The 25,564-nt window shown below is 41.1% G+C and overlaps 1 protein-coding gene across 15 annotated transcripts in view, besides 2 other annotated features; it reads right to left on the reverse strand.

Annotated features, from left to right (window-relative positions):
* The window catches only part of CDK19 (cyclin dependent kinase 19), a 205,878-nt gene that overhangs the window by 139,368 nt on the left and 40,946 nt on the right, over positions 1-25,564 (reverse strand). For 9 of the 15 annotated variants that reach the window (XM_011535630.3, XM_024446376.2, NM_001300963.2 and 6 more), the window contains exon 2: positions 24,531-24,592. The exons of the other annotated variants lie outside the window; for them this stretch is intronic. Coding sequence is in view for 1 of the 9 variants with exons in the window: in XM_047418465.1 (XP_047274421.1) it covers positions 24,531-24,592 (62 nt within the window). In the remaining 8 variants the exon portion in view is untranslated. The remainder of the gene's footprint in view (positions 1-24,530; positions 24,593-25,564) is intronic. 15 annotated transcript variants of the gene reach the window in all.
* Positions 5,961-6,255: a silencer, noted in NCBI's record as "tiled region #10405; HepG2 Repressive DNase matched - State 5:Enh, and K562 Repressive non-DNase unmatched - State 7:EnhWF". NCBI's record gives its function as "represses a minimal TATA promoter and a strong SV40 promoter by Sharpr-MPRA in HepG2 and K562 cells {active_cell/tissue: HepG2 | K562}" and the evidence as "EXISTENCE:reporter gene assay evidence [ECO:0000049][PMID:27701403]".
* Positions 7,707-7,846: an enhancer, noted in NCBI's record as "active region_24936". NCBI's record gives its function as "activates an Ori minimal core promoter by ATAC-STARR-seq in GM12878 lymphoblastoid cells {active_cell/tissue: GM12878}" and the evidence as "EXISTENCE:reporter gene assay evidence [ECO:0000049][PMID:35858748]".

The following is a 25,564-nucleotide window of genomic DNA, read 5'->3' on the forward strand; positions in this document are numbered from 1 at the left end:
ATTCTATTAGGTCTTCCATCTGAGACACTATGTTCCTTTTTTTTTTGAGACAAATGTGTCCCCCAAGTACAGTAGCACGATCTGGGCTCACTGCAGTGTCAACTTCATGGGCTCAGATGATCCTCCCACTTCACCCTCCCAAGTAGCTGGGACTGCAGGCACATACCACACACCCAGGTAATTTTTGTATTTTTTGTAAAGATGGGGTTTCGCCATATTGGCCAGGCTGGTCTCGAACTCCTGAACTCAAGTGATCCGCCCACCTCAGCCTCCCAAAGTTCTAGGATTACAGGCCTGTACCACCGCGCCCTCCTGGCTCTGGAAAATTTTTGATGCAAACAATTCTATAGAGAGTAGAAAATATAAAAAGCACACATCTGTGCAAAAAACAGAAATCATTATTTTGCCTCATCATATGAATGACCACACTATTTTTTTTTTTTTTGAGACAGAGTCTTGCTCTGTTGCTCAGGCTGGAGTGCAGTGGCATGATCTCAGTTCAGTGCAACCTCCGCCTCCCAGGTTCAAGCATTCTTCTGCATCAGCCTCCAGAGTAGCTGGGACTACAGGTGCCCGCCACCACACCCAGATAATTTTTGTATTTTTAGTAGAGATGGGGTTTCACCATGTTGGCCAGGCTGGTCTCGAACTCCTGACCTGGTGATCCGCCCGCCTTGGCCTCCCAAAGTGCTGGGATTATAGGCGTGAGCCACTGCGCCCAGCCAAATGATCACACCATTAACCAAAGAAATGATGACATGACCTAAATGAAGACCTGGAAACCTAAGATTTTATCCTAAAAGCAATGAAAATTACATATGAAGGTTAATCTTATTAGAGAGGACTAAGATTAAAGGGATGAAAAACAATTAGGAAGTTACTGTGATGTAAGTGTGAGAAGGTGAAAACCTGGATGAGTAGAACAGAATGTTAGCTCTGAAAGGGATCTAAGACAATCCTGTATAATCTGTTCACTTCAGTGATGAAGAAACTAGGCCAGCAGCCAGAGGCAGAGCTAAGACCAGCTCTTCCAATTCTTCATGACAGAGGGGTAATAAGACAGGAGAAAAGAAGGGACACCTGTGATAGTCATTTTAAAGGAGGAATTGATGGGACCAAATGAACAGAAAAGATTGAGAAGGAAGAGTCAAAGATGAGTCTGAGGTTTTGAGCTTGGCTGATGCAAGGATGATGCCACTAAGAACAAGGTTCATATCAGATCTCAGAAGATTCTGTAGCTTATAAATGATTCCTTTACATAGAAAGAAACCCCAACCAAAAATGAAAATATCTCGGAAGTTCAAAAAGGAGATGTCCTGAAGATATTTATTTACTAAGCGTCTACTATAGCAGAGTTTCAGACTGAAAGGTTTGAATCCATAGATGTGATGATATTGCCTAGAGGAAGTAGCACATAGATAAGAAGACTTTTGAGTGCCCAGGAAAGAACTGGAGGGAGGGAGGAAGGGAAGGAAACAGTTCTGAAGATACTTCTCTTTTTCTTTTCTGAGACAGAGTCTCACTCTGTCACCCAGGCTGGAGTGCAGTGGTGCAATCTTGGCTTCACTGCAACCTCCGCTTCCTGGTTCAAGCAATTCTCCTGCCTCAGCCTCTGGAGTAGCTGGGATTACAGGCGCATGCCACCACGCCCAGCTAATTTTTGTATTTTTGGTAGAGATAGGGTTTCACTATGTTGCCAGGCTGGTCTCGACTCCTGGCCTCAAGCGATCCACCCACCTTGAACTCCCAAAGTGCTGGGATTACAGGCATGAGCCACCACACCCAGCCCAATACTTCTCTTTCATATCCCTTAGAACAGGGTCCTCAACACTTGGCCCACAGATCCCTACCAGTTGGTGGCCTGTTAGGAACAGGGCTGAACAGCTGGAGGTGAGTGGTGGGCGAGCAAGCAATGCTTCATCTGTATTTACAGCTACTCTCCATCACACCCATTACCACCTGAGCTCCACCTCCCGTCAGATCAGTGGCGGCATTAGATTCTCATAGAAGTGCAAAACCCACTGTGAACTGCACGTGCAAGAGACAGGTTGCATGCTCCTTATGAGAATCTAATGCCTGATGTTCTGTCACTGTCTCCCATCACCCCCAGATGGGACCATCTAGTTGCAGGAAAGCAAACACAGGACTCCTGCTGATTCTACGTTATGGTGAGTTGTATTTCATTATATACTACAGTGTAATAATAACACAAATAAAGTGCAAAATAAATGTAATGCACTTGAATCATCCTGAAACCATCCCCACCCTGCTGGGTCTGTGGAAAAACTGTCTTCCACGAAACCCGTCCCTGGTCCCAAAAAGGTTGGAGACCACTGCCTTAGAAGACAAACAATTCTATGAAGTTTGCTTTTTCTAAACCTTATGAGTCAAATTCAAATCATGAAATCATCAGAAATACAGTATCTAAAATAAGACAGTATTACCAGTTTTTACAACTAGGTGTTACTAGTAAGACATTCTTCAAACTATGTGATGTGCATCCATTGGTCAGATTAAAAAAAAAAAAAAGACATTCTTCAAATCATATGACATCTGAGCCAACTATTTTTTTCTTCAAGAAGAATGATGAAATAAATCAATGTTGTATCCCTTTCCTTTATTATGTGATGATTTGGCTTAGCCGAGTAGGAGGCTTCCACAACATGGAAAAATAATTTTAAAACACAATGTGGAATAAAAATTTGAAATAACAAAAAAAAAAAGATCATCTTGTTTCATATGGGTATCATTCTGAATTATTCAGTATCATCATGAGCCCAATATTCAGCCAGCCTAGTAGTAATGATCCCTTATTTGGAAACAGTATTCTTTATTACATAATAACATATTTAAATTTTTTATGATGAAATTTTTCAAAAATAAATAAATAAATGACAGTAATGCTGCATGTACCCATCCCACAATTATCAACTCGTGGACAGCCTTATTTCTACTGCCTCTACTTTTCTTAATTATTTTGAAACAAATCCCAGACATCTTTCCATTTCATTTATAAATAGTTCAATGTCGTAACACTTTAATATCAAGAATTTTTCTAGTTTGAATAGTCTTTTAAAGTAATTCTGAAACATTTAAAATCTTCCAACATAAGGTACTGCTATTATTTTGTTTTCTTCTTATTAATGAATGATGTCAGATAATACTAGCACACTCTTTATGCTTTCCTTTCCTTTTCTGACAAAAATGTGCTTCAAAAATTATGCTTTCATCCACCAAATATTTCACCTATTCTATCTCTAAACATCACCAAAATACAGTACTATTCTTCTTTATTCAACTTAAGAATTCCCTCGCAACATGAAAATGTGACAACAGTTTGATTATGTCTTTGCTTTCATTTCTTAGAAAGACTACCTTTATTTACTCCTGTTTTTGTGTATGTATGGAGACAGGGTCTCACTATGTTGCCCAAGCTGGTCCCAAACTCTTGACCTCAAGCAATCCTCCTTCCTGGCCTCCCAAAGTACTGGAATTACAAGTATGAGCCACTGACCTAGCCTACTCCTTTTTCTTACAAACTGATTGACTAGTTATCTCGGGTTTTTTTTGTTTTTGGTTTTTTATTTGTTTGTTTGTTTGTTTAGACAGAGCTTCACTCTGGCACCCAGGTTGGAAGGCAGTGGTACGACCTCAACTCACTGCAGCCTCGACCTCCGGGCTCAGATGATCCTCCCACCTCAGCCTCCCAAGTAGCTGGAATTACAGGCATGCTCCACCACACCAGGCTAATTTTTTGTACTTTTTGTAGAGACAGGGTTGTGCCACGTTGCCCAAGCTGGTCTCGAATTCCTGGGCTCAAGCAATCCGCCCACCTTGGCCTCTCAAAGTGCTAGGATTACAGGCGTGAGCCACCACACCTAGCTAGTTATCTTTCTCTTAAAAATGATCTTCATTATATACTATTTCCTTCATTTAGAATTCCAAGTCAGATAAATATTTAGTATTTTAAAAGCTCTAAAATTATAAAATTTTAGAAATCTCTATTAGTTTAGCCAAAAAAAACTTTCAAAACAACTAGAATAATTTTTTATTTTTTTTTTAGACAAGGTCTCTGTCACTCAGATTGGAGTGCAGTAGCGCGATCATGGCTCACTACAGCCTCGACCTCCCAGACTCAAGCAATCCTCTCACCTCAGCTTCAGAGTAGCTGAGGCTATAGGTGTGCACCACCACACCTGGATTTTTTTTTTTTTTTTTCCTGTAGCGATGGGGTCTCACTATGTTTCCCAGGCTGGTCTCAAACTCCTAGGCTCAAGAGATCCTCCTGCCTTGGCCTCCCAAAGTGCTGGGATTAGAGGGGTGAACCACAATGCTTGGCTTAGAATAATGTTTTAATTGATGAATTAATTGTATAATTTCTTTTTTTTTAAGGTGTTCATATTTATTTGACATTTGTATGCAACCATATCTTGGAGAGTTTTAATGAAAAACAATTTACTGAATTGAATTTGCACATCAATATACTTCACCAGTGGTCCACTAATGCTTCAAATCTTATTAATTAGGATATGTTGATAATATTTCCCCAAGCTTCTTACTTTTTAGTCAACAACTACTTGAACTGTCAGTGCACTTCCAAAATCTCAAGTTCAATGTTGCATTGGTAAATATATTACTACATATCATCAATATTTAATGCTTAATTTGTTTCTAAAATTGGCAAATTCTTTTTTTTTTTTTTTAGACAGGGTCTTGCTCTGTCACCCAGGTTGGAGTGCAGTGGTGTAATCACGGCTCACTGCAGCCTCAACCTCCCAGGCTCAAGCAATCCTCCCGCCTCAGCCTCCCAAGTAGCTGGGATTACAGGCACAGGTCATCACACCCAGCTAATTATTTATTTTTTACTTTTTAAGACAGGGTCTCGCTATGTTACCCAGGTTGATCTCAAACTCCTGGACTCAAGCAATCCTCCCATCTCCACCTCACAAAGTGTTGGGATTACAGGCCTGAGACATCGCACCTGGCCTAAAAATGGCAAATTCTTATTGCTGGGAAATGAATTTTTAAAAAATGTATCTGCAGTAATGCTTAAGACTTCAGGCATTGCTTTTAAGGCTTAGGCTTAAAACATTAATGATTAATAGACTGCAATCATTAGTAAATATTTAGTTAAACTAATTTTTTTTTTTTTCAAGACGGAGTCTCGCTCTGTCACCAGGCTGGAGTGCAGTGGCTCAATCTCAGCTCAATGCTACCTCTGCCTCCTGGGTTCAAGCGATTCTCATGCCTCAGCCTCCCAAGTAGCTGGGATTACAGGCACGCGCAACCATGCCCAGCTAATTTTTTTGCATTTTTAGTAGAAACAGGGTTTCACCATGTTGGCCAGGATGCTCTCGATCTCCTGACCTCGTGATGCACCCGCCTTGGCTTCCCAAAGTGCTGGGATTACAGGCGTCAGCCACCCTGCCTGGCCTAAACTAAATTTTTTATAGAAAACATTATCTTACTTTGAGAATTCATGAATCTTAAGTCAGACTTACTTGCAACAGAAGGTAATATAATAAGTGATGTGAGGCATTTATTTCAGAAATATGTTACTAAGCACATAACATGTGTCAAGCACTGTGCTAGGTTCCAGGAACAGGAGGAAGAAAGAGCTGATCCCTTCCCTTGTGAATTTTTTTTTTTTTTGAGATGGAATTTCAGAAAGAGCTGATCCCTTCCCTTGTGAATCCTTTTTTTTTTTTTTTTGAGATGAAGTTTCGCTCTTGTTGCCCAGGCTGGAGTGCAGTGGCACAATCTCAACTCACTACAACCTCCGCCTCCCAGGTTCAAGCTATTCTGCTGCCTCAGCCTCCTAAGTAGCTGGGACTACAGGCATGCACCACCATGCTCAGCTAATTTTTGTATTTTTGGTAGAGATGGGGTTTCGCTATGTTGGCCAGGCTGGTCTCGAACTCCTGACCTCAGGTGACCCGCTTGCCTCACCTCCCAAAGTGCTGGGATTATAGGCGTGAGCCACCATGCCTAGCCCCTTGTGAGTCTTTATACAGAGAGACACACAAGCAAAGGGTACAATCTAATAAATGCTATAACAGAAAAACATGCAAAGAACATCAGATAATGAGTGAATAGAAGGGCTTGGTTGTGGTGGAGGGGATAGACAGGGACTGCTATCAGGTAAACAATTTTCAAAGGAACATTTGAGTGGGTCCCGAGAGATAAGCAGGATTTCACTGAGCAAAGGAGGAAAGGACAGGGCCTTATAGACACCAGAAACGTGTGGACAAAGTCCAAAGATTAAGATCCATGCTATATCCAAGCAATTAGCCAAAGACAAATACAGCTAGAATACAAGAGGTGAAAAAACACAAGAAAAGAGCAAAGCAGACAGAATCAGCATAGTTTTGTATGGTATGCTGAAAACTTGGCACTTTTCCTGTACTATCGAAAGCCATCAGAGGTTTTCCAGCAAGAGAAACATGATCAAACAGGTATTCTCAGTAAGCAGATAGTATGCAGGGTAGATCAGAAGATTTAAAGCCAGAGGCAGGGGGATCAATGTAGAAGTTTGAGGAGGGTGGATGAGGGCCAAAATTAGAGTAAATGTAGTCAGAATGGAGGGAATGGACTCAAGAGGCATTTCAGAGAAAAAAATATATATCTATTATGGCCAGATGCGGTGGCTCATGCCTGTGATCCCAACACTTTGGGAGACCAAGGCAGGCAGATCACTGAGATCAGGAGTTCAAGACCAGCCTGGGCCACATGGTGAAACTCTGTCTCTACTAAAAATACGAAATTAGCTAGGCGTGGCACACACCTGCAATCACAGCAATTTAGGAGGCTGAGGCAGGCACATCACCTGAGGTTAGAAGTTCAAGACCAGCCTGGCCAACATAGTGAAACCCTGTCTCTACTAAAAATACAAAAATTAGCTGGGCATGGTGGTGCGTGTCTGTAGTCTCAGCTACTCAGGAGGCTAAGGCAGGAGAATTACTTGAACTCGGGAGGCAGAGGTTGCAATGAGCCGAGATTGCACCATTGTATTCCAGCCTGGGAGACAGAGCGAGACTCTGTCTCAAAAAAAAAAAAAACGTACAAAAATGAGCTGGGTGTGGTGGCTCGCCCCTTGGTCCCAGATACTCAGGAGGCTGAGGCTGGAAGATCACTTGAGCCAGGAAAGTGGAGGTTGCAGTGAGCCAAGATTGCGCCACTGCACTCCAGCCTGGGCAAGACCCTGTCTTAAAAAAAAAAAAAAATTATCTACTGTGGCCAAATATATTTAGGTACATTGTAGGCATTCAAGAAATATTTAATGAATATGTATGCATATGTGTGCACATGTTTGTGTATATATGTATGTGTATATTTACGTGTGTGTGTGTGTATGTGTATATATATGTTTCTTGGGCAGACAGCCAAAAGAACAGCTGAAGGTAACTGAGATTTCTAGTCAAAGTGTTGTCTCAGTGAAATTAAGTCCATTTACAAAAAAGAAAAAATAATACTGACAATGGGCTAGTTTGGAAGTAGAGAATAAATTCGTTTTGGACATGTTGATTTTGAAGTAGCAACTGAAGAGGCAGTAGAATATGAATGAAAGAAAATAACAGAACTGGAGTTCAGAAAAGAGAACATCTCCATAGAGGTGACTGTTAAAACCACAGAAGTAACTGTGATCACAAAGGGAAAGAACACAGAACCAAAGGGCTAAAGATAGTGGTCAGTGCAACCAAACCTCTTTCACATGATGGCACTCACATAATGCTATTATTTCTACTCTGGACACCAGGGTAGAAACAGACAAAACCACACACGGGCAGAGAGAAAAGGACCCATGGGCTTCCACTGCCCTAAACCCCACTGGTTGCCAAAGAATTTAGAGGATTAATTAACAGGACCCATAACCCATTCACAGCACCCATGCCACAGGCGCCCTTCTTCAGTAAACACCATCCTACAAAAGGCTGAAGAAAGGGAAACTATTAAAATTCCCCGATAGTAGCAAATCTGGATGTGGGATATGCTAAGAAAATTGGGTTGACTCCCCTCCCCTTAGAAAAGGAGAGCCATAAAAAAGGATAACCTAGATGAAAAGAGACTCAAAGCATATAACAATCAAATACTATGCACGAAACACTTGACTAAATTGTGGTTCAAATAAAAATAGCTATAAAAGTTTACTTGTGGGACACCTGGGGAAATTTAATTATGAACCAGAATTTACATAATATTATTATGATATGGTTAATTTTATTTTTTAATTTTTATTAACTGTCAAATATAGGATAATGGTATGGTAATGCAAGCAAATGTTCTTATTCTTAAGAGATATAGGTTCAACTATTTGTGTGTGACATGTAATGACAACAACAAATTAATTTCAGGTTGTTCAAGTACATCAAAAACCATTCATATATGTACATAGAAATAAAGCACTTATAGAAAGATAATAACAATTGAACCTAGGCATTCAAGGCAGCTGAATGTAGGTGTTCACTGTTCTAAAGTAAACTTTTCTGCTTTTACAGAACTTTTCTTAATAACAAAATTGAAGAGAGAAATAACGAATAAGCAGCAGTTAAAGAGTTAAAGAGAAGGCCGAGTATGGTGGCTCACATCTGTAATCCCAGCACTTTAGGAGGCCAAGGTGGGTGAATTGCTTGAGGCCAGGAGTTTTGAGACCAGCCTGGGCAACGTGGCAAGACCCCATCTCTAAAAAAAATTTAAAAATTGGCTGTGCATGGTGGTGCTCACCTGTGGTCCCAGCTACTCAGGATGTTGAGGTTGGGGACCGCTTGAGCCCAAGAGGTTGAGGCTGCAGTGAGTCATGTTTGCGCTACCACACTCCAGCCTGAGCTACAGAGCAAGACCCTGTCCCCCACCTCCCCGCAACAAAAAGGAGTTAAAAAGAAAAACAATGAAAAACAATAAGAAAGGGGTGTACAGAAGCAAAGAAACAAGCATTAAAGGGTAGGTGGGCAAAAGTGTCAAATGTAGAAGCAAGGTCAAATAGGAGAGAATGGAAAAGAGCTCATCGAATTTAACAGTTAATGACATTTGTGAGAGCATCACTAGTAGAGCAAGCGCTTTGTTCAATACTCTCTCAAGGACCTTACCATACTTTATTATAATTAGTTAGAATTGATTCATCTCCCTTACCCCATCCCCAAATGAGGAAGGAGACTATCTTGCTCATTTCTGTATATTCTCTAGGAGCTAAGTACTTTGCAAACAGTAGGAACTAAACATGTTACCAAAATAAACTTGTTCATTAGTCTTGGTCATTTTAAAAAATATTTTCACAGTAATAAGAAAATCTAGAAAACTGTCTTTTAACTACACTCCAAAGATAAAAATATATATATTCTGAAAAATAAAATTAAAATGACAGTGATGATCAAACATCAGTATTTTTATTGTAAAGGTAATTATATCTAGAAATTCACCTAAAAGCAAGTACCTCCTTCTGGAGGGAAGGAGAAAAATATAAATATTTTGCCATTCTTAAATCCCACCCTGTCAGATCAGATAGAGCTAGATCATCAGATCAGACAGTACTGAATCAAAAATCTTCTCCCCTTAGGTGCATTTTAAGATTTAAGTCTTCATGAAATCATCTCAAATATAAATATCAATGAAAAATAAATACTTAAAAAAAAAAATGATGGGCCAGGTATAATGGCCCATGCCTGTAATCCTAGCACTTAGGGAGGCCATGGCAGGAGGATCACTTGAGCCCAGGAGTTTGAGACCAGCCTGGTCAACGTAGCAAGACCCTGTCTCTACAAAAACTAAAAAAATATTTTGGCCAGGCATGGTGGCTCACGCCTATAATCCCAGCACTTCAGGAGGCCAAGGCAGGCAGATCACGAGGTCAGGAGATCGAGACCATTCTGGCTAACACGGTGAAACCCCATCTCTACTAAAAATACAAAAAAAAAAATTAGCCAGGCATGGTGGCGGGTGCCTGTAGTCCCAGCTACTCGGGAGGCTGAGGCAGGAGGATGGCGTGAACCCAGGAGGTGGAGCGTGCAGTGAGCCGAGATGGCACCACTGCACTCCAGCCTGGGCAACAGAGTGAGACTCCGTCTTAAAAAAAAAAAAAAAAAAAAAAAAATATATATATATATATATATATAAATTAGCCAGGCATAGTAGCACATGCCTGCAGTCCCAGCTACTCAGGAGGCTGCAGCAGTAGGATAGCTTGATCCTGGGAGTTCGAAGTTGCAGTGAGCTATGATCGCACCATTGCACTCTAGCCCAGCAGTTCAAGGCCAACCTGGGCATTATAGCAAAACCCAGCTCTAAAACATAAATAAATAAGTAAAATAAAATATTAACACTGGAGATAATTTTATTTCCTTCTTTATGCTTATCTATACTTTTTGATTTTTCCATAATGAATATTAACTACTTGTATAATAATCATTTTCTTTTAAAAGTTTCCATATAAATTGACCTGAATTCACCTGTATGAAAGGTCAGGTTAACCTGACCTCGTTAAATGATCCATTTCATAGAAATGCCAACCCAAGACCAAATTCTAGTCACTAAAAAGCTGAAAAACAAGAAGTTAGGAAAAGAAAGCTACTGCCAAAGCAGAATAAATACCAATAATAATGAGCCAATCAACTGGGAACTTATGGAGGGCAACAGCATTTTTCCATTTACCATTAAATCAACATTAAAACAAAAAGTAATACTATCCAATACAACACATTTACAATAAGATTTATAATAATAGCTACACTTGTATGGTACTTACTATATGGCAGGGACCGACTAAAAGCCTCAACTAGGCCAGGCGCGGTGCATCACACTTGTAATCCCAGCACTTTGGGAGGCCGAGGCAGGCAGATCACTTGAGGCCAGAAATTCGAGACTAGCCTGGCCAACATAGTGAAACTCCATCTCTACTAAAACTACAAAAATTAGCCAGGCATGGTGGCACGTGCCTTACAGTCCCAGCTACTCAGGAGGCTGAGGCACAAGAATCACTTGAACTTGAGAGGTGGAGTTTGCAGAGAGCCAAGATTGTGCCACTGCATTCCAGCCTGGGCCACAGAGCAAGGCTTTGTCTCAAAAAAAAAAAAAAAAAAAAAAAAAGCCTCAACTATATTAACTCTTTTAGGCTGGGCACAGTGGCTCATGCCTGTTAATTCAAAACTTTGGGAGGCTGAGGCGGGAGGATTACTTGAGCCCAAGAGTTCAAGACTAGCCTGGGCAACACAATGAGACCCTGTCGCTACAAAAAAATACAAAAATGAGTTGGACATGGTGGCACATGCCTGTAGTCCCAGTGACTCAGGAGGCTGAGGTGGGAGAACAGCTTGAACTGAGAGGTCAAGGCTGCAGTGAGCTGTGATCACATCATTGTACTCCAGCCTGGGCGACAGGGCGAGACCTTGTCTCAAAGCATACAAAACTCTTACAATCCCTACAACGTGCTATGAAGCAGGTACTATTAACCATCCCCATTATACAGATGAGGAAACTGAAAGCAGGTAGACTAAGTAACTCGCTCTATATCACAAAGCTCATTAAGTGGCGATCCAGAATTCAAACTTAAGTAGTCTGGCTAAAGAGTCTGTGCTTTAATCGCTATAGTGATTATTTCCCTTCTCAGACGGGGAATATGCCTGTCCAGTCTCACAGGCAAGACAGCACGATACATCTGAAGTTCAGTAAGGCTGGTTTCAAGTAGGGGAAAGCAAGTTAAAGCTGGAGAAGCAAGAAGGCCAGATGAAGCAGAACAAGTAGGAACACAGGTAAGGATTTTAAGCAATCTGGGTTGGTGTTTTCGTTTGTTTTTTGATAGGAGGGGGTCTCATTTTGTTGCCCAGGCTGGTCTCGAATGCCTTGGCTCAAGTCATCCTCCTGCCTCAGCCTCCAGAGTAGCAGGGACCACAGGTACATGCTACCCTGCCCAGCACACAATCTGTGATTTTTGTAGTCTGAAGGTGTGAAGATAGCACAGGCAACTGGTTAAGAGGCCTTTGCAAATAATTTAAATGAGAGGTGGCTATAGTCTAAATTAGGATAGTAGCAGAGGCAATAAAAAGAAGTGGATGGATCTTACAGGTAATTAGGAAACAGTGTCAACAGAACATGTGGTGAAGAAACAAGAGAAAGAACTGCAAAAACTTGATTCCCAGTGTCTAGCTCGGGCAATGGGTGATGGTGATACCATTCACTGAGTTAAGAAGAGCAGATTGGGCAAGTTTTAAATAAGTTGAGAAGACTGTGGTATTGTGCAAACCAAGACGTCCAAAAGGCGTCTGGACACACATATAGTTTAGACAGGAGATGTGGACTAGAGATAGAGATGTGAAAGTATTTAGAAATTGAAGTCATGAGACTAGGAGAAAAGAATCCTGAAAAACATCATTTAAGGATGTTTTTCATTTAAATTTCACTTAAGGATGCTCAGTGGTTTACCAATTATTTTACTTTACTTTTGTCTTTCCAACTAAATACTAAGTTCATTGAAAGCAATGATGCCTCCTACAAGCCTCTGTAACTCCACAGCTTTTCACATATTTATGGGTATTTGTGAGGTACTTAACCAACTGAGATATGGAGAAGGGATAAATAAAATACACTTGACACTAGGAAAATCCTTTTCTTAGGATTCCTTTGATCTTCCATTTTCCCCCCAGGCTTTTGCTCCCTCAATTACTGCTGCCCTGACTGTGCTAATCCAATGGAAAAAGATGAATTTGGGGACTGATAACTCTGGAGTTATGCAAAGGTTCTGTGATCTACTTTCTCATACCCAATACCCCATAAGCAAATTAGGGAAAAATTATTTTGTTTAACAGAAAAATGGAGAAGAAGGATCCTCATTGAAAATAAAAGACAAAATTTGTTCTAGTGTATTTTACTGCCACAGTAGAAATTTGTATACTGTCAATCACAAAATATTCACTGTTTTTGGCCCTCCATCTTCTTCTCACTGATTGATTTCCCTGATCTCTCTTTCCTCCTATTCCTCCTATCAGACAAGATTAAGCTTTCCAGAAATTTTGTGAACACCCTAGCCTGAGGTCAAAGCTCTCTTCTCTGCATTCACCAAGCATGTGTATGCACTATACAAGTAGCATTCATCATATACCACTTTGTATGGTAACTTTTCCATAGTGTGTGACATAAAGAACTTGGGCTATGGACTTATATACCTCATATACCTATCCCACTAAGTCACACAGCGAATAGGTTACTTATACCTTCATATTATCGTTTTTGCACCTGTAAATTAAGAATATTTACCTTATTCAACAGCTTTGAAGATAAATGAGATAAGGCAGAATACGTAAAGCACCTAGCACAGTGTCCAGCACCTATTATAGGTTCATTAATATCAGTTCCTCCAACAAAATTGTAAACCTTTTAGGGACTATGGAAGAAGTTCACACATAGGCATTTCAATTAGAATACTTGGGAAGAGATACAGGAATATGAGTTTTTGACAAATACATATCAGTAAAAATGGAACACAGCACTTGAAATTATTCTTATATGAATAATAAGTTTCCAGAGAGGAAGTATCATTATCATGTGTATCTTTGTAGCCAATGTAATACCTTGGAGCTAACAATCAAATATTTGATGAATTGATTAACCGATTAGATGACTGACTTCACTGGCTATCTGCCTTTTCAAATAAGATAGAGGTTTACAGTAAGAGTCTAGAATTAGGTTTTACATTCAACAGGGCATTGTAGTACATATTGGGAACTACAACGCTTGCAACAATATACTGAGGTATAGTCTTTGCCCTCCAGAAGTTCAGAATAGAGAAACTAAAGAAAATAGAAGGTATTATATATTAAAACTGCCTGAATCCCATAATTTAAAAAACTTTTATGACCATCCATTTAATCCCATCTTTCTCATAAAAGTTAAGGCAAAGTGAAGGAATGGAGGGAAAGAGAATGGAGTGCTCCTATGATCTGATATAAGCAGTACTTGACAATTTTTATACTACCAAATATAGAATAATATATTGAGATTATTATAATTCGTGGAGAGAAACTAAACACGTTCCCCCTAAAATCAGAAACAAAGCAAAGATGTCTGCTCTCACCACTCTTATTATGTTTTTTTTTTTTTTTTTTTTGAGAAGGAGTCTTGCTCTATCACCAGGCTGGAGTGCAGTGGTGCGATCTCAACTCACTGCAGCCTCCGCCTCCCAGGTTCAAGCAATTCTCCTGCCTCAGCCTCCCGAGTAGCTGGGATTACAGGCATAAGCCACCACACCCTGCTAATTTTGTATTTTTAGTACAGAAGGGGTTTCTCCATGTTGGTCAGGCTGGTCTCAAACTCCCAACCTCAGGTGAACCGCCCGCCTCGGACTCCCAAAGTGCTGGGATTACTGGCATGAGCCGCCACGCCCAGCCTGCTCTCACCACTCTTAATCAACATAGACTGCAAGTCTTAGCTAATATAAGACAAGAAAAGGAAATAAGAGGTATACAGATTGGAAAGGCAAAAATAAAACTTTGTTCACAGACGACGTAATTGTCTACGAAGAAAATCCCAAAGAATCAACAAAAAAGAACTCCTGGAACTAATAAACAATTATAGCAAGATTGCAGGGTACAAGATTAATATAAAAAGTCAATTGTTTTATTATATACCAGCAATAAAAAATTGCAGTTGGAAATTACAAATACAATACCATTCACATTAGCAACCCAAAAAAGAAATATTAGGTATAAATCTAACAAAAGTATAAAATATATATAAGGAAAACTTAAACTACAAAACTGTGATAAAACAAATCAAAAAAGATCTAAATAAGTGGAGAGATATTCCACATATAAGTCTAAGAAGACTCAATATTGTCAAGAGCTCAATTCTTTCTAACTTAATCTATAGATACAACATAATCCCAAACAAAATCCCAGCCAACTGTTTTGTGGACATTGACAAACTGATTCTAAAGCTCATGGGGAAAGACAAAAGACCCAGAATAACCAATGCAATATTGAAGGAGAAGAACAAAGTTGGAAGACTGATACTACCCAACTTCAAGACTTATTATAAAGCCACAGTAATCAAGACAGTGTGATATTGGTGACAGAAAAGACAAATAGATCAATGGAACAGAATAGAGAGCTCAGAAATAGACTCACACAAATATACTCACATGTTCGTTGACAAAGGAACAAGGAACAGCAATGGAGAAAGAAGTTGTTTCAACATACAGTGCTAGTTCTAGCACTGGACAACTGGACGTGCATATGCTAAAAAAAAGAATCTAGACACAGACCTTACACCCTGCACAAAAATTAACTCAAAATGGACTGCTGACTTAATATAAAATGGAAAACTATAAAATTTTTAGAGAAGGCCGGACACGGTGGCTCACGCCTCCAATCCCAGTACTTTGGGAGGCCGAGGCAGGTGGATCACCTGAGGTCGGAAGTTCAAGACCACCCTGGCCAACATGGCAAAACCTCATCTCTACTAAAAATACAAAAATTTGCTGGGCGTGATGGCAGGCACCTGTAACCCCAGCTACTCAGGAGGCTGAGGGAGGAGAATTGCTTGAACTCAGGAGTCAGAGGTTGCAGTGAGCCAAGATCGTGCCACTGTACACAAGCCTGAGCAACAGAGCAAAACTCCATCTCAAAAATAAATAAATAAATAAATAAATAAATAAAAATTTTAGGGGATAACATAGAAGAAAACCTAGATGACCTTGGGTTTACAGTACTAAAACACAATTCATTTTTTTTTTTTAATTTGGGAAGTGGGACTTGACTAAAATGAAAAACTTAGGCTCTGTGAAAGGCACTTTAAAGAAAATAAAAAGAGCCAGGCATGGTGGCTCATGCCTATAATCTCAACACTTTGGAAGGCTGAAGTGGGAGAATTGCTTGAATCCAGGAGTTTGAGACCAGCCTAGGCAACATAGCAGGACCACGTCTCTACAAAAAATTAAAAATTTTTGACATTTTAGGAAGAAGGATCACTTGAGCCCTGGAGGTTGAGGCTGCAAATAGCTATGATCACACCACTGCACTCCAGCCTGGGTGACAGAGTGAGAATCCATATCAACGAAAAGAAGAGAACAGGTCAGACGCGGTGGCTCACGCCTGTAATTCCAGCACTTTGGGAGGCCGAGGCGGGTGGATCACGAGGTCAGGAGATTGAGACCATCCTGCCCAACAACATGGTGAAACCCCGTCTCTATTAAAAATACAAAAACTTAGCTGGGTGTGGTGGCACGTGCCTGTAGTCCCAGCTACTTGGGAGGCTGAGGCAGGAGAATTGCTTGAACCCGGGAGGCGGAGGCTGCAGTGAGTCGAGATCACACCACTGCACTCCAGCCTGGTGATACAGCAAGACTCCATCTCAAAAAAAAAAAAAAGACAAGGAGGGGAGGGGAAGGGAATATTATATATATAAATATAACATGGGGAGAATTGAACAATTTAACACCCAAATCCAATTAAAAAATAGGTAAATGATCTGAATAGACATTTCTCAAGGAAAGATATACAAATGACGAACAGGTATACGAAAAATGTTCAACATCACTCATTATCAGAGAAATGCAAAACCCCAATGATATATATCATCTCACACCAGTTTAAAATGGCTATTATCAAAAAGAGAAAATAACAAATGTTGGCAAGGAGGCAGAGAAAGGGGAACTCTTATATACTGTTGGTGAGAATGTAAATTAATACAGCCATTATGGAAAACAGTATGAACATTCCTCAAAAAACTGAAAATAGAAATACCATATGATCCAGCAATCCCACTACTTGGTATATACCCAAAGGAAAGAGAATCAGTATGTCAAAGAGATAGCTGCACTCCTATGTTTATTGCAGCACTATTCACAATACTGAAGATAAGGTATCAACCTAAACATCCTTCAAGAGATGAATGGATAAAGAAAATGTGGCATATATATAATGGAAAATTATTCAGCTACAAATGAATGAAATCCTGTCATTTGCAGGCCAGGCATGGTGGCTCACACCTGTAATCCCAGCACTTTGGGAGGCCAAGGCAGACGGATCACTTGACATCAGGGGTGCAGGACCACCCTGGCCAATGTGGTGAAACCCCATCTCTACTAAAAATACAAAAGAAATTATCTGGGTGTGGTGGCAGGCCCCTGTAATCCAAGCTACTCAGGAAGCTGAGGCAGGAGAATCCTTTGAAACCGGGAGGCAGAGGTTCCAGTGAGCCCAGATTACACCACTGGACTCCACCCTGGGCAACAGAGCGAGACTCTGTCTCAAAAAAAAGAAAGAAAAAAGAAATCCTGTCATTTGCAGCATCATTGACCCTGCAGGGCATTATTTTAAGTAAAATATGCAATGTATAGAAAGACAAATACCACATTTTCACTTATGTGTAGGAGTACAAAAAGTTGATCCTACCTAGTGCAATGGCTCATGCCTGTAATCGCAGCACTTTGGGAGGCTAAGGCAGGAAGACTGCTTGAGCCCAGGAGTTCCAGACCAGCCTGGGCAATATAGTGAGACCCTGTCTCTAAGAAAATAAACAAATAAGGCTGGGCATGGTGGCTCATGCCTGTAATCACAGCACTTTGGGAGGCCGAGGTGGGCAGATCACCGAGGTCAGGAGTTCGAGATCAGCCTGGCCAACATGGTGAAACCTTGTCTCTACTAAAAATTCCAAAATAAGATGGGCATTGTGGTGCGTGTCTCTAGTCCCAGTTACTCGGGAGGCTGAGACAAGAGAATCATTTGAACCAGAAGGTGGAGGTTGCAGTGAGCCAAGATTGTGCCACTGCACTCCAGCCTGGGCGACAGAGTGAGACTCTGCCTCAAAAATAAATAAATAAATAAATAGGAAAAAAAAAAAAGTTAACCTCATGGAAGTACCAAGTAGAACAGTGGTTACCAGAGGTTGGGAAGGGCCAGGGGATGGGGAGAAAAGGAGAGGCTGGTTAACAGGTACAAAATCACAGATAGGAGGAATAAGTTCTGGTGTTCCATAGCACAGAAGAGTGACTATAGTTAATAATAATTGGCCAGGTGCAGTGGCTCAAGCCTGTAAACCCAGCACTTTGGGAGGCTGAGGTGGGCAGATGACCTGAGGTCAGGAGTTCGAGACCAGCCTGGCCAAAAACCTCCGCCTCCCAGGTTCAAGCAATTCTCTCACTTCAGCCTCCCAAGTAACTGGGACTACAGGCATACGTCACCATGCCTGGCTAATTTTTTGTATTTTTAGTAGAGATAGGGCTTCACCATGTTGGCCAGGCTGGTCTCGAACTCCTGACCTCAGGTGATCCACGCTCCTCAGCCTCCCAAAGTGCTGGGATTACTGGTGTGAGCCACAGCACCCAGCCATGAAGAGAGAATTTTGAATGTTCCCAACACAAATAAATGATAAATGTTTGAGGTGATGAATATGCTAATTATCCTGATTTGATCATTACACATTGTATACATGTACTGGAGTATCACATGTAACCCCATAAATATGTAAAATCATTATATATCAATTAAAAATATTTTTTAAATTTGGGAAGTTAGACTTGAGTAAAACTAAAACTTTTGCTTTGTGAAAGATATTTTCAAGAAGGCAAAAATACAAGCCATTGACTGGGAGAAAATAATTGCAAAACAAATATCTGATAAAGAAGTGGTATCAAAAATAAACAAAGAACTCTTAAAACTCAACAATAAGAAAACAGACAGCCCTCCTTTCTTGAGAGGAGCTCTGAAAAGAAAATAAAAAGAAAAAGAAAACAAACAACTCAATTAAAAAATAAGCAAAAGATCTGAACAGACACCTCACCAAAGAAGAAATGCAGATGGGAAATAGGACACATGAAAAGATGCTCAACTCTCATGTCATTAGAGGTTGCAAATTAAAACACACCACTGTACACCCACTAGCATGGCTAAAATCCAAAACACTGACAACATCAAATGCTGACAAGGATGTGGAGCAATAGGAATGCTCGTTCATTGCTGGTGGGAATGCAAAGTAGTACAGCCACTTTGGAAGACAGTTTGGCAGTTTCTTACAAAACTAAACATGTTCATGCCATGTGATCCAGCAACTGCACTCCTTGGTATTTACCCAAAGAAGATGAAAACATGTCTAAAGAAAAACCTGCATACAAATGTTTATAGCAGCTTTACTCATAATTGCCAAAAGCTGGAAGCAACCAAGATATCCTTCAGTAGGTGAATGGATAAACTTGATATGTCCAGAAATAGAACATTATTCAGCACTAAAAAGAAATGAGCTATCAAGCCATGACAAGACATAGAGGATTCTCAAATGCATATTACAAAGTGCAAGAAGCCAACCTGAAAAAGCTACATACTCAACTCTATGACATTTTGGAAAAGGCAAAACTGTAGAGACAGAAAAAGATCAGTGGTTGTCAGGGGCTTGCAGGGAGGGAACCAGGGATGAAAAGGTGTAGCACAGGTGATGTTTAGGGCAGTGAGCTACTCTGTATGATACTGTAATGGTTAAATACATATCATTACACATTTATCAAAACCCATAGAATATACCTAATGTGTAGAGAGCAAACCCAAATGAAGGCCAGGCATGGTGGCTCAAGCCTGTAATCCTAGCACTTTGGGGGTCCAAGGCAGGTGGATCACCTGAGGTCAGGAGTTTGAGACCAGCCTGGCCAACATGACGAAACCCCATCTCTACTAAAAATACAGAAAAATTAGCCTGGCATGGTGGCACGTGCCTGTAGTCTCAGCTACTCGGGAGGCTGAGGCAGGAGAATTGCTTGAACCCTGGAGGCAGAGGTTGCAGTAAGCCAAGATTGTACCACTGCATTCCAGACTGGGTGACAGAGAGACTCTGTCTCAAAAAAAAAAAAAAAAAAAAAAACCCTAATGTAAACTATGAACTTTAGTTAACAATAATGCAACGATACTGAATTATTGATTTTAACAAATGTGTCTCAGTAAAGCAAGATGTTAATAATAGGGAAAATTGGCCAGGCACCGTGGCTCACACCTGTAATCTCAGCACTTTGGGAGGCTGAGGCAGGTGGATCATCTGAGGTCCGGAGTTCGAGACCAGCCTGGCCACCATGGTGAAACCCTGTCTCTACTAAAAATACAAAAATTAGCCGGGCATAGTGGTACATGCCTGTAATCCCAGCTACTAGGGAGGCTGAGGCAGGAGAATCGCTTGAACCCGGGAGCTGGAGGTTGCAATGAGCTGAGATGGCACCACTGCACTCTAGCCTGGGTGAGAGAGCAAGATTCCATCTCAAAAAAAAAAAAAAATAATAATAATAATAATAATAGGGAAAACTGGGGAGCAGGGGGTGGTATATGGGAACTCTACTTTCTACTCCAGGTTTTCTGTAAACCTAAAACTGCTCAAGAAAATAGTCAATTAATTTTTTTAATATTTTCATAACCATCCATTTAATCTCATCTTTCTCATAGAAACTGAGTTGGAGTTGGGAGCTGGGTGAGGAGTATTCCTATGTCTTGATACAGATACTCTATTGAGATTCTCAACTGGTAGCAAAATACACCACAGTCAGATTAGCTAAACAAATATAAGAATGCATAATTCAACAGTGATGAAAATGGCCAACTAGCCTGCAAATGTATGAAAGGCTTTAAATTGCTTCCAACCTATTATTGGTAAAGAGAAAATATCCTCAAAATAGCCACTGAAAAAAGTAAAATAAAGGCAAAAAGGTTTGGGAAGTAAAATTGTAGCTTACCCCAATAAATAGCCTGAAATTCACCTATCTCTTCTAGTTAAAAAAAATAGCTTCTCTGAATAGGAGGAAGTGAAAGAATAGTGAAACTTGGTTCATTGTAAAATGGTGTGCTCCTGTGTTGGGCACACAGTAGAGATTTCATAAATACATACTATCCAACTTCACATAAGGTGTATATCCTAAATATATGATATAATATGCAGCTACTTTGTATTAGTCCGTTTTCATGCTGCTGATAAAGACATACCCGAGATTGGGAAGAAAAAGAGGTTTAATTGGACTTACAGTTCCACATGGCTGGGGAGGCCTCAGAATCATAGCAGGAGGCGAAAGGCACTTCTTACATGGTGGCAGCAAGAGAAAATGAGAAGGATGCAAAAGCAGAAACCCCTGATAAAACCGTCAGATCTCATGAGACTTATTCACTACCACAAGAATAGTATGGGGGAAACTGCTCCCATGATTCAAATTGTCTCCCACTGGCTCCATCCCACAACATGTGGGAATTATGGCTGTAGAATTCAAGATGAGATTTGGGTGGGGACACAGAGCCAAACCATATCATTCCACTCCTGACCCCTCCAAATCTCATGTCCTCACATTTCAAAACCAATCATGCCTTCCCAAGAGTCCCTCAAAGTCTTAACTCATTTCAGCATTAACCCAAAAGTCCACAGTCCAAAGTCTCATCCAAGACAAGGTAAGTCCCTTCCACCTATGAGCCTGTAAAATCAAAAGCAAGCTAGTCACTTCCTAGATACAATGGGGTACAGGAATTGGGTAAATACAGGCATTCCAAAGGGAGGAACTGGCCAAAACAAACGGGTTACAGGCCCATGCAAATCCGAAACCCAGCAGAGCAGTCAAATTTTAAAGCTCCAAAATGATCTCCTTTGACTCGAGGTCTCACATCCAGGTCACACTGATGTGAGAAGTGGGTTCCCATGGTCTTGGGCAGCTCCAACCCTGTGGCTTTGCAGGGTATAGCCCCCCTCCTGGCTACTTTCACGGGCTGGTGTTGAGTGTCTGCAGCTTTTCCAGGTGCATGGTGCAAGCTGTCAGTGGATCTACCATTTTGGGGTCTGGAGGTCTTCTCACAGCTCCACTAGCCTGTGCCCCACTAGGGGCTCTGTGTGGGGGCTCCAACCCCACATTTCCCTTCTGCACTGCCCTAACAGAGGTTCTCCATGAGGGCCTCGCCCCTGCAGCAAACTTTTGCCTCAGCATCCAGCATTTCCATACATCTTCTGAAATCTAGATGGAGGTTCCCAAACCTCAGTTCTTGACTTCTGTGCACCCACAGGCTCAACACCACATGGAACCTGCCAAGGCTTGGGGCTTCCACCCTCTGAAGCAACAGCCTGAACTGCACTTTGGCCACTTTTAGTCACAGCTGGAGTGACTGGGATGCAGGGCACCAAGTCCCTAGACTTCATACAGCACAGGGACCCCTAGCCCAGCCCACAAAACCATTTTCTCCTAGGACTCCAGGCCTGTGATGGGAGAGGCTGCCTTGAAGATCTCTGACATGCTCTGGAGACACTTTCCCCATTGTCTTGGGAATTAACATTCTGCTCCTCGTTACTTATGCTAATTTTTACAGCTGGCTCCCATTTTCTGGGTTTTTCTTTTCCATAACATTGTCAGGCTGCAAATTTTCCAACCTCTTATGCTCTGCTTCCCTTGTAAAACTGAATGCCTTTAACAACATCCAAGTCACCTCTCGAATGCTTTGCTGCTTAGAAATTTCTTCCGCCAGATATCCTAAATCATCTTTCTCAAGTTCAAAGTTCCACAAATCTCTAGAGCAGGGGCAAAATGCCACCAGTCTCTTTGCTAAAACATAACAAGAGTCACCTTTGCTCCAGTTCCCAACAAGTTCCTCATCTCCATTTGAGACCACCTCAGCCTGGACCTTGTCCTTATCACTATCAGCATTTTGGGCAAAGCCACTCAACAAGTCTCTAGGAAGTTCCAAACTTTGCCACATTTTCCTATCTTCTTCTGAGCCCTTCAAACTGTTCCAACCTCTGCCAAAGTCACTTCCACATTTTCAGGTATCTTTTCAGCAGCGCCCCACTCTACTGATACCAACTTACTATATTAGTCCGTTTTCATGCTGTTAATAAAGACATACCTGAGATTGGGAAGAAAAAGAGGTTTAATTGGACTTACAGTTCCACACGGCTGGGGAGGCCTCAGTATTACAGCGGGAGGCAAAAGGCACTTCTTACATGGCGGCAGCAAGAGAAAATGAGAAGGATCCAAAAACGGAAACCCCTGATAAAACCATCAGATCTCATGAGACTTATTCACTACCATGAGAGCAGTAGGGGGGAAACCGCCCCCTTAATTCAAATTATCTCCCACCGAGTCCCTCCCACAACACGTGGGAATTATGGGAGTACAATTCAAGACGAGGAGATATGGGTGGGGACACAGAGCCAAACCATATCACACTTACTTGGTATCTAAACAACTATAATTTCCAGAAGCCCCTAAGAAAACCATTCCTCTGATTCCCATTCAGAATCTATCTAAAAACTAGTCACATTACTAACTTTATGTCTAAGAGTACATTGTTAGCTGCTATAGATCTCTTTCTAAAAATAAAAAACAAAACTGCCAAGGCAGGAGGGTTGTTTGAGGCCACAAGTTCCAGACCAGCCTGGGCAATAAAGCAAGACCCTGTCTCTACAAATAACTTAAAAAGTAGTCAGGTGTGGTGGCGTGAGCCTGTGGTCCCAGCTACTTGGGAGGCTGAAGTGGGAGGATTGCTTAGGCCTGGGAGGTCAAAGCCACAATGAGTTGTGATGGCACCACTGCACTCAAGGCTGGGAAATAGTGAGTCCCTGTCCCAAAAAAAAAAAAAAAAAGAGAGACTCATTAAGAAGGTCTCCATAGCAGGGCGTGGTGGCCAATGCCTATAATCTTAGCACTTTGGGAGGCTAAGGCGGGCAGATCGCTTGAGCCCAGGGGCTCAAGGCCAGCCTGGGCAACATGGGGAAACCCCGTCTCTTAAAAAAAAAAAAAAAAGGTCTCTATAAAAACATATTTTACAAGTGTGTGGGATGAGAACTAACTACAGGCAGATCACGAGGTCAAGAGATCAAGACCATCCTGGCCAACATGGTGAAACCCCATCTCTAATAAAAATACAAAAATTAGCTGGGCGTGATGGTGCGTGTCTGTAGTTCCAGCTACTTGGGAGGCTGAGGCAGGAGAATCACTTGAACCCAGGAGGTGGAGGTTGCAGTGAGCCAAGATCGCACCACTGCACTCCAGCCTGGCAACAGAGCAAGACTCTGTCTCAAAAAAAAAAAAAAAACAAGTTATCAAGAGACAGGTAACTAGCATATTGGAAACTAACATTTCTGGCAAATGGGACCTATAGCATGAATGCCTATCTTCCAGTCATGAGTCATGGATTAGGCTGCCCCTCTATTGTGAAGCAATTTTTCAGTAAAAGGAGCAGCATATGAATTATGACTTGGACAAGTTCCCACGAAGAAATCAGAGTAAAGCTAGGTCTGAGAAAATTACATGGTATATAGCATACATTATACTAATGCTGTTTTCCTACTCACTCCTACTATTTCTTAATGGCAAAGAAGTGAAATTTAGAGTCTTTAGTTCTATCTAAATGTTACTTTTTTTAATGAATTTTAGTAATACTGAATACAATTGTACGGGTATTATCTTGGTTTTAAATTTTATGAAAGTGAATCATTTAATGCATCATTATAAATTACTTAGTGATTACACTTGTGAAAAGCTCTCACCTGTCACATACCCACCCCAGCACACACACACAATGACACCAGAAGGCAATACTCTGCTTTACCTTCTGCTGAAAAGTCTGCTACCTCCAACGCTTGAGGTCCATACACGAAGCCCTCCTGGAATCTATGAACACAGCAGAGGCAAAAGGCAGAGAAGTTTATGTAGATTTAAAGTTACACTGCCCAAAACATAAAATGCCAAATGCCTATCACAAGTCTACATATCTGCCAAGGAACTCAGATTTTAGATTTGACAATGAGCATATCAACAATATATAGGTAACATTCACAATTAATTATATATAATGCAGCTTATTGTATGAAAAGACCAAAAGTTGAGCCTTAACTAATTATATTCTTACGAAAAGAACCAATTTATACTATTGGAAAAACTAATGCAGCAATAAAGTATGAATTTATATACACTGAAAGTAACAATTCAACTTTTTAAATTATGTGAGAGCCAATACATATGCAGTAGTCCCCCCTTATCCATGGGGAATACGTTCCAAGACCCCCAGTAGCTGCCTGAAATCTGGGATAGTACCAGACACCCTATACACACTGTTTTTTAATCTAATAACTAAAATGGCTACTAAGTGACAGGTAGTGTCTACAGCATAGATATACTGGACAAAGGGATGATTCATGTCCCCAAAGGGACAGAGGAGGACAGCGCTGGACAGCACAAGATTTCATCACACTACTCAAAATGGGTACAATTTGAAACACGAAATCTTTATTTCTGGAATTTTCCATTTAATATTTTCAGACCACAAGTCAGTAACTAAAACAGCAGAAAGCAAAACCACAGATAAAGGGACAATTATATAAAGAATATAAAACAAATTAAAGGCTGGGCACAGTGGGTCATGCCTGTAATCCCATCACTTTGGGAAGCCAAGGCCGGTGGATTGCTTGTGCTCAGGAGTTCAAGACCAGCATGGACAACAGGGCGAACCCCATCTCTACTAAAAATACAAAAACTAGCTGGACATGGCAGTGCACACCTGTAGTCCCAGCTACTTGGGAGGCTGAGGTGGGAGGATCACCTGAGTCCAGGAGGTTGGGGCTGTAGTGAGTCCTGATCACACCA

The sequence above is a fragment of the Homo sapiens genome, chromosome 6 (genome assembly GCF_000001405.40).
Source record: "Homo sapiens chromosome 6, GRCh38.p14 Primary Assembly".
NCBI classification, from domain to species: Eukaryota; Metazoa; Chordata; class Mammalia; order Primates; family Hominidae; genus Homo; species Homo sapiens.